General features: G+C 38.2%; 1 protein-coding gene across 23 annotated transcripts in view; it reads left to right on the top strand.

Moving 5' to 3' along the window:
• TRPM3 (transient receptor potential cation channel subfamily M member 3) overlaps positions 1-18,645 on the top strand; it is a 917,912-nt gene that overhangs the window by 582,646 nt on the left and 316,621 nt on the right. For all 23 annotated transcript variants that reach the window (NM_001366143.2, NM_001366141.2, NM_001366142.2 and 20 more), the window contains exons 3-4: positions 1,214-1,418; positions 17,735-17,948. In NM_001366143.2, coding sequence (NP_001353072.1) covers positions 1,214-1,418; positions 17,735-17,948 — 419 coding nt within the window. The remainder of the gene's footprint in view (positions 1-1,213; positions 1,419-17,734; positions 17,949-18,645) is intronic.

Raw genomic sequence — 18,645 nt, 5'->3', positions numbered from 1 at the left:
CTTTTATATTGTTTCTGGACATCTTTGAGGCAATCTTATTTATACACACTATATAATATGTCATTTCTACAATTAATTCTTACTCTAAGAGCCGATAAAGAAAAACATATATACCATTGTGGAAGGAATTAATCACTGTATATAACAGTGGATTATGTTTTTTGTTATGGTTATTGGTTTTTCCTTTTAAGTACCTCCTCCAAATGCTTAGTTAGTACCAACACGTTCTGCAATAGGAAAAAAGGAGACACTTAAATAAAAGACTCCTAGCAGATTCCTAACTAAACTGTATACCTTCAGATTCCCATTTAAGCACTTTGTTAGCACCCTACTTACCTTCCTTAGGATCAACAATATATAAGATAAGAAGCATTTGGGATAAAGTAGCATATATATGTCTGAAATGCCCTTATGAATGGGCAATTCAACAGATCAGTTTAAAATATAGACTACAGAGTCTTAGAGACTATCCGTGTAACCTTGCGCAAATTACCTAACCTTCAAAACTACAATATTTCATCTATACAATGGATGCTAAATTGTTAGTTTTTAATAAATGGCAGCTACATATTGTAACTATTATGACTAATAGTCATAAAGGTAGTAATAGTAATGTATGAAGGACATTTTCATGATAGAGCAAAGTTTAAGTTTTCAAATATCTCATGAATATTTTTCATTGTTTCGTCAAGAACACTTAAGCCTGCAGATTTTTATTCTCAGAATTGGATATTTGACAGCAAATGTCAATTGGGAAGAGACAAGTTCAGTTGTGATTCACAAAGAAGTGAGATTCCTCATTTAAATGTGCATGTTAAACTTCTCCTCCTCAAAGCTCTTCAGAGACCTTCGTGCTTTGATAGATTTGATAGATGGGCTGAGTGAGAAGTAGAGAAATCCAGAGAAGTTTTGTTTGCAGATGTCCAATCCTGAACAAAATGCCAGGTACAAAAGAGGTGGACGGAGAAGGGCAGGAGACATATTACAACTTATACAGCTAAAGGAAAATGGGTAGAGGGGAGAAAAGAAAAGATATGTATATCATGGAAAGCCTGAGTTTACCAATACCTGATATAGCCACATGGTGGAATTCTTCCTGAGAATTGACTGACAGGTGTTGGCACAGACTATAGATTTCTCCAGCTGGTTGCCTTAAGTGTGTATCCCAATAGTGACTAATACCAGGGGTTCACTTTAACCTCTTCTGTTATAGGTGTTGCTGTGGGCGTCTGATAGGCCAGCATGTTGGCCTCACCCCCAGTATCTCCGTGCTTCAGAATGAGAAAAATGAAAGTCGCCTCTCCCGAAATGACATCCAGTCTGAAAAGTGGTCCATCAGCAAACACACTCAACTCAGCCCTACGGATGCTTTTGGGACCATTGAGTTCCAAGGAGGTGGCCATTCCAACAAAGCCATGGTAATCAGAAAGCCATTCAGTTGCTCCCAAATGCTATCTCAAGTCTCAAGTCCTGCAAAGGGGTGGTTAAGAGCATGAAATTTAGTCTTTGGGCCTAATCTCCACTCTGCCACTGTCTGATGAGGTGACCTGCTCTGAGTCCCCTGCCCCTGTGTGTCTCAACCCTTCTTCTATAAAACAGGAAAAAGAAAACTTTCCTCCTGGGATTTTTAAAGTAATTAGTGACTTTTAAATAATTACAGACACAGTGACTCTTATTATTAATCATTTTAAAATAGCTTTCTATAGTTATTCACTGTTTATTATGTCATTTTCTGGGTCTCATCCATTAAGACATATTTTTCTAACTCCTTTTTTTATCCCTTTGGTGAGAATGTGTTGCTCTTTAGACTTCTGTTTTATTCTGTTGGTAACTAGCATTTCTCTTAATTCAAAGTAGAAATGATTAACTCCACCTATTTCTTTCCTTGTTCTAAGAGAAATATTGCCATCGAAATTAAGTGCTTTTTCTCCAAGCATCTGTGCTCAATAATGTTCTCATTAGAAGATTCCACATAAAAAGCATTTTTTGAGTTGGGGAGACTTTAGGAAATATGCAAATGTTACTTCTAAGAGTTTTTGCTTTTAAATTTCACCTTTCATCATGGGCCACTTCCTAGTTAGCTGACAGAATTTGTCTAGCATGTGTTATGAAAATTCTAGATGCTATTGTCCAACAAGCTTGCTTCTAACTGTTATAAGAGAGAAAACTAGCTGAGGGTGGAGCAGGAGATGTCTGTTCTTAGGCGTGTCATGGAGTTTTTTGAGTCTGGAGAAGAAATTTTGCTAAAAGAAGCATACTACAGACCACAAGGGAAGTCACCTCACATGAATGGCAGTCTAAAACTGTGCAATAAAGCCACCTCTTTCTTCTCTTTTCTTACCTCTCCCTTCCCTGTCTCTCTCCTCTTCCCCTTTCCCTGCCCCCCACCCCCGCCACTGCAGTAATTTCTTTACCACGAATGGCTGACTGAGCTATTTTAACACTTCTTTTCTATGAAATATAATTCTGAACTGTATATTAAAACCATTTCTGAACGATATTTTAGAAAGAAAAATGTGCTATTTGCAACCTCCAGCAAGGCTTGGGAAAACAAAGAATGAGTTAAGTAGTCTTGGCCTATGCAAAACTAAGGGAAATGGAAATCTGTCAACTTCCTTACTCACTTAAGAGATGCATTTGCCCACACAAGATTATTAACTGTCCCCAATTCAGTACAGTCACTGTTCACAGTATGGGATTGACCCACATACAATGTAGATTCTCTGAAACCACGTGTTAAAAGTCATGCGAGTTGTCCCTGTAAGAAAAGTGCTGTAAATGAGGATGTGGCTTGCTGGGCAATAATCATTGTAGAGTGGTACACCCAGTGCCTTCACAGGATGCTTGAATACTGCCTGCAAGCCTCGTGTCATTAGCCCAGTAGGCATATGATAAGCCTCTGGTCATCATTTCCACTGTTAAGAGTTAGTGTCAGATATGGAGCACCAATAGGCTTGTAAGTGAGAGCATCCCTCAAAGTTGTCACCTTAGGAGACTCTGATGACCATGATGCTGCCATTGTCCAAATGTGCACTCATCTGTCTTTTGGGGAGTGATTCCCGACAATTTATAGATTACAAGAGAAAAGCAGTCTGTATTTTCATCAAATGATAGTTTTAATGGAAAATGAATCAGAAGTACCTGAAATTCATAAAACCTAGAGCTTAGTCACAAGTAACTTCTACTGTTTTTTACAAGTCCAGTCTATTCTATGAAGATAAAGTTTTTTACCGTTAAAAAATACCTTTTAAAAATGGAGTGTTAGTAGTGAAGTATCAGTATTAGGAGGTTAGAAGCGAAGAATGTAGATTGTGGATTTAGATAACACAAGTTTAACCCAGAACCATCATATAATGCTATGACATGGAGAAAATTACTTAAATTTTCTGAGCCTCAGTAATTGTATTCTGTTGTATAAATGGTTGGTATTACTGTCATAAGCATTAAACGGGATGACTTATGTAAAGGATTTGACACAGTGCTGAGCACACAATAGATATAAAATTAATCTAGCTGCTATTAATATTATTAATACTATCATCACTATTATTTGCTTCAGTCTCTGAAAGAAATTGCAAAAACATTTTGACTAAATACTTCGAAAGACACTCATTTGGATGCACATATCTTATATTTTATTTTAGAAAGCCAAATTACACTTTTTCAGTTAATGTTTTAAAATTATTCCAGAAGTTCTCACCCCTTAGCCTACTGGTTGACCACAGCATCTGAAGGCACACTGCATTTTATTTACAGCCTGACTGTCATTAATGGGCTTTGTGACAGTTTACTTAGCTTCCTACTGCCTCAGTTTCCTCACTTGTAAAATGAGGATAGTAATTCCTCCTTCATATGGCTGTCTCTAGAATTAAATGAGTCAATTCATGTTAAGCACTTAGAATCTTGTCTGGTGTTAAAGCTGAGCAACTATTTTCTGTTGGTATTCTTCCTACAAAGAGCTAACTTACTGTACCGGAAAGAGAGGCTTTGCGATTAAGATGCATGATCTTGAAGTCAGACAGAACTGGATCTCAGCCTTCACTCTCTCACTGTTTAACTAGAAAGTCTTGATTAAACCATTTAACTTAGCTGAGCCTCAAGTTTTCTTATCTATAAAGCAGGCATAGTTGCCTTATTTGATGTTTATGAAGATTAGAGAGAAAATTAAAAGTACCTGGTATACAGCTAGTGCTCAAGATGTTTATGAAAATAATAGCTACTTATAAAAGTAACAAAGACAGAGTAGTGAAACAGCTTCCTTTACTTCCCAGGAGTCCAAAGATGTGTTAGAATATTTCCATAGGGGTGCCAGGCTGCATAAGTCCACAATCAACTCTGTTCCAGTGAATGGCATTGGTGACAGGCACTGGCAGGAGGGTGGGTCCAGGACACCAGCCCATCACTGACAGAGGTCTGTGGTCTGTGGATCACCACATCACGTACTTAGATTTCCACTTTCAGTCAACCTCCTGTATCCACTCACTCCAGCAAAACAGTAAGTGAGACACTGTTACACCTCAACAATTGAACAGCTGCCATGGGTGTGCTATTACGGGGGACAAAACCAAGATCCCTTCTCATTATCTGTGATTACTTTTTCTCCTGCTGGAAAATTGTAGTGCATTTGACAGACCCTAAGAACTCTGGAGACTGAGACTCCAAACGATTTTATTAAAATGTGTATCCTTCTTAGTATTAAAATACTTGTGCAATTGCTTTCAGAATCTGTAGCAAGTAATGATAACCACAATAATAATAGCAACTAAAATGTATGGAACATCTACTACATCGCTGGTACTGTGCCAAGTACTTAACTATGATACCTTGTTTTATGTTTATAACAGCAGTATTGTTATTCCTACATGACAGAGTAACCTACTGCAGCCCTTAATAGTTAACTAATTTCTCCATGTCGCAGAGCAAATATATACTGTATGTATATTACAATATTTCACAGTGGAAAGAAAGACTCGAAGAAGCAGATAGATCTTCCATTGTGCTCCACAGAGGGGACACATATAGACACTGGCTTCGACAGCCCTCCTGAGGCTCCACATGGCTCTGTGGAACTTAGAGTTGTCTGCTGGTGATCAGGTTAAACAAGGTCAGCTATATACTTTGTGGAACCCAGTACAAAATTAAAATGTAGGGTCCTTGCAGGGACAGAGAAATCAATCCTCCCTTCCGATGGCTGGCAGCCCCAACTCTCAGTGGATGGGTGACCCCTGCCATGGGATTGCCACCTTTACACTGGGACATGGCTAGTATCTAAGGCAGGTGAACTTCTGCCAAGTCATCCATGAAGCACAGCATGGTTTTGCCAGCCCAAGACAGAGAAGGCTGCTCCCTTATCATTACCCTGAAATGCTGCAAGGTACATACCCGCCCCTGACCTTCCCCATCCTGGAGAGGCAGCAAGGAGGTAGGACCAGGGACCACCTGTGAACTGAAGCTTCAAGACTCCACTGTCCCATTGGACTTCATTTACTAAACACAAATTCAAGGATAAAATTATTAAGAATTTTAAGATAGCAAGTGCACAGCAATGGACCCTAAGCACTGGCCTTCTGAATAGTGTGACTATATTGGTCCCACGCCCACAAAGCTGGCTCTGAGGCTAGGTCTCGGAGGTTATGGCTGCCCTAGATGGCCTCAGAGCTGTCCCTACGAGCGTAAACCTTTCTTTCTTTCTGAGTCTAATCAGCCAAATGAGAACCAATTTACCTTCTTATTACTACCGAATATTTAACAAGTGGAAGTTCCAGCTCTTCATCCAGACATAAATAAGCATTTTGTCCACTTTGAAAACTTGCCCTTCAATTATTCTGATTCTTCTGTCTGGGCAAAGGGGTGGAGCTGTCCACAGGTCGGAGGTCTCATTTTATCTGGCAGGATAATTGTTTTGTGCCAACCTGTTCCTTCTTTACCTCTTATCCTCTCAAACAAACTGGCACACAGTTTGTAGAAAGGGAAAATCAGCAACCACCATCTGTTAAAGAGTGCCAATCTTTGCATGGGGAAGGCATGGTTAATTTTTCACTAAGATTTAGGTCAGATTGGCCAACTGATTTAATATGCCTTGGGTCCCCTGCCTCTAACAAGAATACTTGAAAGTTGAAATTATTTTTAACAAAGTGGTCAAAAAACTCTAGAGGAAGATTGATTTTTATTAACTTTTGAAGCCAAGTTGAAGCCCTTGTGTTGCCAGTGTGGTCTGGACATAATATGAGACACTCTGCAGGAGTCTGGGTAGAGGATAAAGTTGGAGAAAAAGAGAATCATAATCATTATTACAATGTTGCAGGCCATGTGAGCCACATCTCTGCTCAGGAGCACTCTGTGTGTCTGTTTTATCATGCAGGCAGTACAGCAATGTGTCACAGAGCTTAAGCCACCAAGGACACTTGAGAGATTGGATGCAGCAATTCACAACTTGCGAACTTTTGAGACAAGCACACTAATACCTATGTCCAAGGTTTACTTCCAAGAGAGTCTCATTCATTGGTCTGGCATAGACCGTGGGCATCCAGAGTTTTTAAAAAATTACTCAGGTTATTCTACTGTTCAGTCAGGCTTAAAAAACACTAACTAATCTGCGCCTAGAGAAGTTAAATTATTTTCCCAGAGTCACAGTTATTTAACAACATAGTTCTTGAACCCAGCCTCCTCAGGACTCCTGTCAGTTCTGTTTCTTCTCTGTTGTATACACCTAGCACAGGCTATATTAGATGTTTTGTTGGGAAATATATATGTGGGTAATTGAAAGGAAGCTAATTATTATTATGTTTCTAGCTATTGATAAGGAAACATCAATTTAGAATTATAAAGTCACTATTGTTTAATGAGGTTGATGAAACTCAAAAGCTGTGAGCAGGAAGGGGTCTTCGTAAACTTACATCCTAGGTTCACAGAACCATTTTCTGTGCCTTTTCGAGTACTTTGTAGTGTTCAGTCCTCCGTTCCCAGGCTTGACCAGCCCCCATAAAATCACAGTGAAACCAGCCCTTGACAGAGAAAAATTGTGACGCAGGAAGAAGACGTTCAAAGCTGATAGAACTGAAGGATTCTGACTTCCTGTTAAGTACCAAGCCACATCCTACCAAATTGCAAGCCCCGGTAAGCTATTCCCGAACAACCAGAAGACCCTGCAGTTCACTCAGATGCCCCATAAATGTCAGAACATAGAGACAAAGGGAGAAGATAATAAGAGGCAAAAGCTCTGGTTTAGGCATTATTTTACTGGAATGGAATCCAGGTAACTTTCTAGGACCCTTTACAGAGCAACAAGAAGATGGACCCATCAGCCAACATAGTATCATGTCTCAAAGACTCTTCTACATCTGGGGCTCACACCTTACATTATTTAGGAAAGGAAGCAGTGTTGGACTTGATTACAGACAGAATCTTATTTTCTTACTAGTCATCTCTTCCAATTAATGCTGAGCTGACTTGTGGGCCAGGTAAATAAGTGTAACCTAATTAAGGACTTATATTTAAACCTCTCAAGTCACCCACATAATTCTCTTTAGGTTTTCCCTTGCTATTTACACTCCCTATTAAATTAGGTTGAGCCCCTTATTATAATCTTCATATGATTTAGATAATTATTTCTAGCCCTCATTTTCACACTTAAAGCTCTAACTATATAGAGCCTGCCAGAGGATGAAAGCCTTATTCTCTGGGCGTTGTGGGTGTGAGGTGAAAGGGAATGTGGGGATTTACGGGGGAGATAACAGGCAGGGGGAGGCTGTCAGCAGCATGACATCTACAAGCTTATGCTCTTAATATCCTTTAGGATTGAATTTGAGATTTAAAAAACTGTCTATCTTTGCAATATGCAAATTTTATCTGGGAATCATCACTGATTGGCACACACCAAGTAGGAAATTAAATGAGTCCCACTTCACAAAACAAAATAGCTGATCAATAGGCTGTGGCTAACCAAGCAGCTTTACATACACGGTAAGGTTTTGAGAGGTTTTGTAATTGTTCCATTGATTTTCAGTTTCTACCTTGTAATCTGAAGACCACTGAACTGGCAGTACCTTTGGAAGGTTTTTCTGAAACTGAGAATAAAACTAGAATTTATCAGTTATATTTCTGATCCTAATCATAGATCTATAGAGAAGGAAGAACCAATTCTCATCCAAGAAACCATCCTATCTTTGCGTCTAGAAAATGTTATGCTAAATAATTCTGGCAGAAAATTCATACACTACCTCCTATGACTAGTTTATATGCTTACTGGAGTTTTATATTATTTCTAAACCTTGAGTTGTGGCTTGTCAGCATCCATCCCCTGTAAGTACCTGATATCTCATATTAAGACATTGCAAAAACAATATGGAATAAATTACAATAACACCTCCAATTCCAGAGTTTTGTGGGTCATCAAACTAGGGATTTGATGACAGTTAATGTGATTCTAAATATTTTCTAAGGATATTTTTTTATCTATTAAACCATCATAAGCATTAAACTCTTGATGCAAAGCACAAGGCCCCATGGACTTGGAAAGCTGGTATTAGCAAAATTGCCTTAGTAGTCTCAAGCGACATATTCTCTTCAGCCACAGCTTTAATTACAAGTGCCCATTTTAAAGGTACCTACAAAGAGTTAGGAAATGAAATGGTGCTTGTTACATTTCTCAAACCGAAAGGAAAATGGGGCAGATTTTCCACTAGAGGCTTGGAAGAAAGGCATTAAAAATATTGTTAGAATAGATTTAGCAATGATAGTTCCATTTTTCAGAACACTACGTAACAAAAACCAGGTGATTACTTCCAAGAATTAAAGATGGCCTTACAGTAGAAGGAGGTGGACCTGTCATTTAATATTTCCGAGAGAGTAGCCAGATTCATTGTTCTGCAGTTCCTTTACATTTTCATTGAAACAGCTGGGCAAAATTTACTTGGGTTAAAATTTAGCCCTAAAGAGGTGACTGATGAATTTTCAAAGGCAGATTGCTCTGCCAAAACTCAAATTGAGAATGCCAAAGGAAGATTATTATTATTTTTTCTTAATGAAACAGCCCGTCTGTTCTATGCAGTTTGGCTGCTGCCCCACCCACCAATCAGCCTTTGCCTACTGTGGGTTTGATGAAGGGGAAAGGACTGTCTTGTTTGTGATGCCAAATCAGTGCAGAGCGAAGCCATGATAAAGTTGAGTTCTGCTTTGATAGGCAAATAGTAACATTTCTAATGATAAAGCAGTCAGAGAGGCTTTAGTAAAAAATGCAATAAGTCACCTGCTAAGCAAAAAGACCTTTAGCACCAGGCAGAGCAAAAACTTGAGAGTTTTAGTTACTGATGCCCTCTGCCATTTGAATGAAAGAAAATCTCTAGTTTTCTATTTATAGTCTCACAGAATGTCATGTCTAAATTTGTTGTTTGGAACTCAAAATACATTTTCTCATGAAAATCATGCTGATGTACTGGCCTCCAAGGTAACTAAGAGTAGATCAAAAAGTACAATTTCAACTAGAACTAGCCTCTAGTTCATACAGAACATTCTTGAGATGTTATTCTGATTGTCATTAGCACATCACAGGGCCTTCCTGCTGCCAGGCAGTGACGCTAATGACAGAAAGAGAAGAGATAGGTAATTCCAGCCATGAGTAACTTATTCGAGCCCAGTTTATCTCTTGAAATGATAAATTGGGGAACTAAAGGCCATGGATAAAGAAAGGATTGGATAGCCCAAACAGGTGCTTTTAGAAAGATAAACACCTGCACCAATCACTCCCCAGATAACTCCAAGGTGAAAAAGAAAAAGTTATTTTGAAAGGCATACTAAAGAGCTAAAGGCAAGTTACTTGGACCTGTTATACCCAGGGGCCATATATAAGGTGAATGTGACCTTCATTCAATTTGCATTTATTAGTTTTTCCGCCATACCTGGTATGTGCCACAATTTAATCCACACAGTGTCCTGTGAGGTCGTCAGGATCACCCCTGTTTAACAACAGAGGATGCTCAAATTGCCAAAGGACTTGCAATGCCACTATCTGACACTCAAGTATCATGCTGCTTATGTCTGAAATATCTGTAAATGGGAGCACCACATCAGAGTAATGCTCAGGGGACAAAACTGAGCATGCTCATTAGGAAGACTTCTTGTTATTTGTAAGGTGAGCCCTTTGCAATTAATAGACTCACAAGTGACAGTCAAAATTGCTGATCTTGACAACCAAAATAGCTCCTAATTTCAAATCATATTGACTACTTAATAGGAATTGATTAATTGCTCTGGGCACGTCCATTTATGAGCGTGGAGCTGCTGAGTCGGCACATGAGTTAACTGCTGTATTAAAGCACCTGGAGAGCTTACAAAAGGAACTGATCTTTATGAGCATAGGAATATCATTTGAAAATGAAAATCCTCAGATAATCTCAAAGTGTTTTATCCCTCGGTTTTAATTATCTTCTTATCTACAAAAACATGTACCTGTGTTGCTAAATGGTGACAACCAAACATGAAAAAAGTACCAAATTAATTCACTTAAATGCTTTATTTATATCTTATCTTTTATTCTCAAGAGAAGGGCACAATAAATCACAAATAACGGGCAACATCCAAGGGCCAGAGCCACCCGTTGTTTGTGCTACTTGCATGATTCTAGATAATTAGGTGTGTTCTACAGTTAACCAAATGTTCCTTTGTGTAAGAATTAGTACTGGTCAAAAGAGGTTAGGTAATTGAGGATACTTTGAGTAGCTTGTCAATTGCTCCATTTTCATATTTATTGTGGCCTTACTAATTCTTCCAGTACTTCCTAAATCTTCCTTTGGATATCCATGTAAAATACTGAGCGCTCTTTCTTTGACCAAATAGCAAACACAAAACACATCATTTGGGATGTTTGGTCTGGGGAAAAGTTATCATTCTTGCTGCTCATGTGGTACCTGAGGAGCTGGTTAGAAATGCAGAGGCCCAAGCCCTACCCCAGATGTATTGAATCAGAGCCTATATTTTTGACAAGGTCCCCAGGTAAGTTCTGTGCACATTAAAATTAGAGAAGAACAGCCCCATCTAGAGCCACCAGTGTTAACAGTAGCTTCAATAATGAATTAAAGGATTGTTGAATAACTAGCTCTGATATTCCAGTCACTCACCTTCCCTGGGTCTCTGTATCCTCATTTGAAAAGCAAAAGAATGGAACAGATTCTTTTGAAGAGTCCCATGATTGCCAAGATATCTCTAAACTCTGTTTTCTTTCCAAGACAGTGACTACTTCATAGCCAGTGCTGAAAGCCTTACTAAAGAGAAAAAGACATGGTCAGGTCAAACACAGTCTCTCCCCTCAAAGCTCTTGCAACATAGGGAGATAAAATTGACCCATGGGAAAAACAACCAGAAAAAAATATATATATATCACACTGGGTTTGATTAAGAGTTATATTGCATCAACCTGAACTTGCATTCTCAGGAAAAGTCACGTTGGATGAAACAAAGGCCTTTGATAGATGAGAATGCTTTCTGTAGATGAAAGGGGAGAGATTGCATTATCTAGGACTTAGAGGGGAGCAGTGCTGGCCAAATGCAGGGAGAAGTGAGGAAAGCCTCAGAATTGGCAAGATTATGTCAAGTTATAGGGGATGCTGAGGGCAAGAATGGGGAGTTTACATCTGATGGAAGAATTTTAATTGAGAAATAATATGGTCCAAAAGGGACTGGAGAAAGAAATCTGCCTGTTGGTGTCTCATAAAGAAGTCAGTAGGAGGCTGTTGCTGTAATTCAAATGGACATCCTAGTAAGAATACATTCTTAAAATGGCAACTGAAGAAATAGAGAAAAGGAACTGGTTGACAGCACTGTTTTGATAAGTGGACCATTAGAATTTGGAGACTGATTGGTCATAGGTAAAGGAAAAGGAGAAGTACAGAGACACAGAGCCATTTACACCTTTGAGGTAAAGAGAAAGGGCCCTGGAGTCAGACCTGGGCTGTGAGCACTCCCATACTAGCATAGTGAACTTGAGAACATGATGGATTCTTTCTGTTCCCATCGGTAAAACGTGGGTGAAACCAACATCCCTGTTGTTGGGAGGAGTATGTGAGAAGGTACAAGTAGAACACGCAGCATGCATGTGCCTGGTGCACAGTAAATACACAAGGTTCTTGTATTCTGGTTATTTTGTTGTTCTTGTTTTTTGGGATTTTTTTTCTCTCTTTTTTTTTTTTTTTTTTTTTTTTTTTGGAGATAGAGTCTTGCTCTTGTCGCCCGGGCTGGAGTGCAGTGGTGCAGTGGCGTGATCTCAGCTCACCGCAACCTCCACCTCCTGGGTTCAAGTGATTCTTCTGCCTCAGCCTCCCAAGTAGCTAGGATTACAGGTGCGCGCCACTGCACCCAGTGAATTTTTTGTATTTTTAGTAGAGATGGGGTTTCACCATGTTGGCCAGGCTGCTCTTGAACTCCTGACCTCAGGTAATCCACCTGCCTTGGCCTCCCAAAGTGCTAGGATTACAGGTGTGAGTCACTGCGCCTGGCCGGAATTTTTTTTTCTTAGTAAAGTAATTGTGAGCAGAGAGAAAAATGTGAAGAGATCCCACGAGTAGTGTGACCTCACCTACTGTCTCCCTTTCTTCATCTGTAAGATGGGGAGCTGGGATCAAGGGGATCTCTTAGGTCATTCATTCATTCACTCTCTTGATTGCTTACTAGCTGAGTAACAAACATTCTGTGATAATGAACACAGCTTTGTATGGGTTAAGTTACTTCAAAAGGAATTTCAACATATTCAGTAGTTCTATTGGTCTTTTCCAGTGAGCTGCTCACCTGATCAATAAGTAGACCCTTTTCATTTCTTACTGTTATATTGTATGTATAACCATAGAAGTCCTAAAGTAAATTATCTATCAAGGGAGGCTTATTCCTAAAAATGCATTTATTTATTACCAATTAGTATGAATAATTGAACTCCATAATATGTCACTTAGCTAGTTAAGCTTGCTGAAATTATTACACAATATCTGTATTAATTTAGTATGAATTGTAATCTCCCTTCACACTATGTGAGTTAATAATGTATGCATATCTATTCCCAGGTACTAACTATGGCTCTGGATCTCACAGCATGTATGTGCCTGGTGCACAATAAATATACAAGGTTCTTGTATTCTGGTTATTTTGTTGTTCTTGTTTTTCGGGATTTTCTTTTCTGTTTTTTGGAGACAGAGTCTCCCTCTTGTTGCCCAGGCTGGAGTGTAGTGGCGCAGTGGCTAGATGAAATGTATAGGTGCAGATCTACATGGAGAATTTTGGGGTTCCAAAAGCCACAATCATAACAACTCAGAAATGTTAGGAATTACTCTGAAATCTTGCAAGGGGCAAATAATTTTAGGAGTATTTTTATACTTTAGATGCTTTTCTGTGTTTAAGAAAAGTGTAATTTATATCTCACCTTAGGAGAACATAAGTCCACATTAAATTGAGGTTCTTTAAAGTGATACGTTAAAGTTGATAAATAAGAGAACAGTAACTTGAAAAGCAATTTCTTAACATGTCTCACACTAAAGCATTCTTGGTTTGTATAGTTTGGAAGCCTTGCAAGTCCCAGTTCTACTTTATTTTACTAAATAATCTGTTCTGGAATTAGTCAAAATGAAATAAATTCAATTCAGCAGAACACCCAAATTTTAACTATTCAAGTCGCTAAACCACACTACTCAAGTAGCAGTGTACAGGCACAGAAAAAATGTTATTATTTCATCTTTATCTTAAACCACTTTACTGAGGTATGATTGGCATGCAACAAGCTGAACATAATTAGTATATGCAACTTGATGAGTTTGGAGATAAGAATATACCTGGGAAATCAGCACAATCAAGGCCATAAACTTACCCAACACCTCCAAAGTGTTCTTCTGCCCCTTTATTTATTTATTCTTTTCTTTATTCTTTTATTTTATAGCATTCATTATAAATATGTCTCTTATAAAGAGACTCTCAATGAAGATTTTTAACAGAAACTTTTACTTAAGAAATTCCTCTGTTTGCCTCTGATACTCCAGTACCCCCTCTTCTGCCTGAATGCTCCTTGTGTGGCACAAAAGTACACATTGGTGAAAATTTCTGTTGATAGATATCTGAAAGTTTTTGCCCTCTGCATGAGAGTTGGTGCACAAAAGATGCCATTTTTCATATTGTAAACTCTAGTCAAATTCTAGTGATATAATGTACTTACCTAAAATTGTCAACATTTACTCTGTATTCTGGAATCATTTTTTGCTAGATAAATCAAATCAATATAGAAACAACTGTATTGGATGCCAACACTTTGGATTTCTGGCATATATATGTTCAGGAAACTTTAGCTCTTTGGTATCTCTTGATGGTGCGGTTTATTTTATTAAGCTGCTTTCATATTCTGCGTGCTTTTGCCTCATGTTTCAGCTAAATATATTTCAAATATACTTTAACGAAAGAATAGAGAAACAATTTTTGAGGCTTTGAAACAATGGGGTTTTCCAGACCCGAAAGCATGGCAATAAATTGTCATCTCCTGGATAATCTTATATAAATCAAAAAGCATATGTTTGTATGATTACATGCAGGCATATTCATTTTGTGGTTATGCAACTTTAACATTCATACTTAAATTCCAGAATTAATTATTTTCCCTTCTTTCCCACACAACATAGGCTTTAGAATGCCATAACTCTAATTGTTACCATTCATTTATATGCTGTATTGTCCAGTGTTTTAGTTCTGTCACTTTCCACTGTAAATTAGATGTTATTTTATATTATATACCCAATACTTTTTAAGATTTACCTTACATTAACTAATATCTTAGTTTATCTTCCTACCTTACAACCCAGATCATCCATTTTGGATCACATAAGTCCTGCTTCCTATATATATTTTAAAACTTCCTTCAGGCCAGGTGTGGTGGCTCACGCCTGTACTCCCAGCACTTTGAGAGGCCGAGGTGGGCAGATCACAAGATCAGGAGTTCAAGACCAGCCTAGACAAGATGAAGAAACCCCGTCTATAATAAAAATACAAAAAAATTAGCTGGGCCTGGTGGTGGGCACCTGTAATCCCAGCTACTTGGGAGGCTGAGGCAGGAGAATCGCTTGAACCCAGGAGGCAAAGGTTGCAGTAAGCCGAGATCATGCCATTGTGTTCCAGCCCAGGCAACAGTGCAAGACTCTATCTCAAAACAAACAAACAAAAACAATAACAAAAACAACTTCCTTCAGTGAAGGTGCCTAGAAGTAAACTCTGTCAGTTTTGGCAGTATGAAAATATCTATAATCTGCTCTCATTTTTAAAAGATAGTTTTGCTGAATGTAGAATTCTAGACTGACAGGTAATTTCTTTTTTTTTTTTTTTTTTTTTTTTTGAGACGGAGTCTCGCTCTGTCGCCCAGGCTGGAGTGCAGTGGCGCGATCTAGGCTCACTGCAAGCTCCGCCTCCCGGGTTCAAGCCATTCTCCTGCCTCAGCCTCCCGAGTAGCTGGGACTACAGGCGCCCGCTACCACGCCCGGCTAATTTTTTGTATTTTTAGTAGAGACGGGGTTTCACCGTGTTAGCCAGGATGGTCTCGATCTCCTGACCTCGTGATCCGCCCGCCTCGGCCTCCCAAAGTGCTGGGATTACAGGCGTGAGCCACCGCGCCCGGCCAGGTAATTTCTTTTGACACATGGAAGGTTTTGGCTTCAGGTGTCTATTGTTGCTGTTGAGGAGTAGGTCTTCAGTCTAATGACTATTCTTTGTACATGATCTGTCTTTATTTCCAGCCACTTCTGAGGAATTTCCCCTCCCTTTGGTGTTACATGTGATGTGTATGTAAGTGAGGTTTCTTTTCATTTATCCTGCTTAGAATTCACTGAACTTTCTGCATGTTAGAATTGGTATCTTTCTATAATTCCGAGGAATACTCAGCCAATATTTCTTCCAATATTGCCTCCTCCCCATCATCTCTTTTACTTCTACCTATAATTCTGATTATCTCCTCCAAGCTCCTTTATTTTCCTTTCATGTTTTCAAATCCTTTGTTTTCCTGGCTGCATCTCATTTATCTTCTGGATCTATTATCATTATATCTAATATTTAATTTAACTTATCCATTTTAATTTTCATTTAATTATTACATTTTAATTACTAGAAGTTCTGTTTGGTTCTTTTCAGATGTATATATATGCACGTATATGTCATTTTTTAGTTTCTTACTCCTGACTCTTATACTCAGTCATCTCATTTATGCTTTTTAACATATTAACAGTTATCTTATAGCCTGTATCTTATCATTTCAATGACTTTGAGGATCTTATTTTGGTGCCTGTTGTTTCTATTGGTTCTCATTCATGCTGCCTTATTTCCTGTATAATTTATTTTATGGTTTTACTATGAAATACTTATTTCCCCGTGAGAATTATTTCAGGCATGGATTGATGACACATTCTTCCACAGAGAATCTCCATTTACTTCTACCAGTTATCTGGAACCATCGTCCAGCCAGAACTATTTAACATATTAAACACTGCTTGGCAATTCTTAAACCACACTGATAGTGTGAATATAGACAAGGCCTGTGTGGGGGCCTGATTGTGTTCAAAAATAATCAGAGGGGAAATTTTTTCCTCATCCACCTAGAGTCAAGGTTGAGGTAGGCAAGTTTTCTTGCCATCTTCTTCTGTGCATCAGGCTTATTTAATTTTTTTCTTTCTTATACTTGAGGATGAGCCCTTTGAAGTATACCAGCCCTATGTGGGATCCCATATTAAATTCTCCCATAAAATCATTCAATTCCCCCCTGCATGCAATCATTAAATCAGATGCTCTAGGTCTTCCAGGGTTTAGGAAAGACACTCAGGGTCAAATCCTGCTTTGGTACTCCCTAACTTCCTGAGGTTCTAAACTGCTTCTTTGTTTAGGAGTCTCAATAATTCTTTTTTCATGCCAACTCAGAAACCTATTTCAAAGGACTTTCTATATTTGCCCAGTTTTTCAGTTGTTTCCAGCTAGAAATTGAAGTTTTTAACATACTTACATTGAGACCTAAATGAGTATCTATATATATGGTTATATACATAATTATTACTGCATGTATTTATAGTATTTCATTTATATAGACTTATTATAACTTTATTTCCAGTTGCATCTGGTAACACCTTGATATTTGCTATACACTCAAATTTTCAACTATTCTTCAAGAATAGTTGTCCTGCCTTTTGTTACTTGTCTTCTTCAAAAGATACAGAAACATTACATTTGGTATGCAGTTGTTATAGCTATAAATAAATGTAATTCACTATTATGTTATTTTAAAACTCTCATTACATTATGTAGAATTCTAGAATCTTTCAAATCCTCTTAAAATAATAGGGTCACAGAAATAATAATATGTGCATCTAGTTAATATAAAGAGATATGAAAAATATTAGAAACATTTGAACTGTTGTACACATGTAAAGGGTGGTGAAATATAAAAATGATTTCCTTTGAGCAAAGAACTCGGTCTGGGAAAAGTCATGCTTGCACAGCATTTTAGAAAATCTAATAATTTCAGAATGAATTATCATAATTTCAAGAAAGCCTTTAAAAATATGAACTCTGTCTAATGAAGGCTCTTTTGATAAAGCAAATGATCACCCCTTTTAAAAAAATCTGATTTTATATGAGACGTTTTTGTCACATAACTACACATATAATTGCAATCAGTAAAGATAACCAGCCTCAGCCAGTCCTGCCTTGTCTCCCTAATTGATGTCCTTTCTTCTTCCAGTATGTGCGAGTATCTTTTGATACAAAACCTGATCTCCTCTTACACCTGATGACCAAGGAATGGCAGTTGGAGCTTCCCAAGCTTCTCATCTCTGTCCATGGGGGCCTGCAGAACTTTGAACTCCAGCCAAAACTCAAGCAAGTCTTTGGGAAAGGGCTCATCAAAGCAGCAATGACAACTGGAGCGTGGATATTCACTGGAGGGGTTAACACAGGTAATTGCAAGTGGAACAGAGAAAGTCAACATAGGCCATGGGAATGTTGTGCCTGATGTAATTTTCTGCTAAGATTAATTATTTCTATATCACCCCACTTCATCCCTACCCATGGGTCCATAGTTGCTGGTTATCACTCCCTCCTTTATCTAAATGAGAACTGTAAAGTTATTTCTTAACCAAGAAGAATTACTTACACATAAGAAATGGGTTGGGATATTTAATAGTTGACTATACAGAATTCATAAACATGACTAATGGAATTTCACAGGATATTTTTAAATAGCTCAAGTTGCCAATAATTCTTTAGGGAATGACTTCTGCTTTAAATTGGAAGCCCTACCTCTGTCCTTTACACAATTTCAAGTTTGGTACCAAATAGCTTTAATTTTTACAAAATGACGTTTCCATCTGGGACATAAAGGCAAAGTCTAGGGCATTACGTGTTTATTGTTTAAAATATTTTATTAACTCCTCACTGTGCCAATGGAAGACACATCTCACTCTGAATTCCAAAGAATGTTTGCTTCCTGCCATCTATATTGTGATATAGACGCATTCTCAAATCAGTTCTTACTGGCCCACCTATAGTTAAGTGCTTATTTACAGAACATTTTTAATGTGCACCAGATAATGGAATGGATGCCTGTAAATGTTTTTGGCATACTCCCCCAGCCTGAAGTCTGAGGTGCCAATT

Source organism: Homo sapiens, chromosome 9 (assembly GCF_000001405.40).
Source record: "Homo sapiens chromosome 9, GRCh38.p14 Primary Assembly".
NCBI classification, from domain to species: domain Eukaryota; kingdom Metazoa; phylum Chordata; class Mammalia; order Primates; family Hominidae; genus Homo; species Homo sapiens.
Note: the sequence above shows the minus strand (reverse complement) of the source record. Positions and strands in the feature narration are given on the sequence as shown.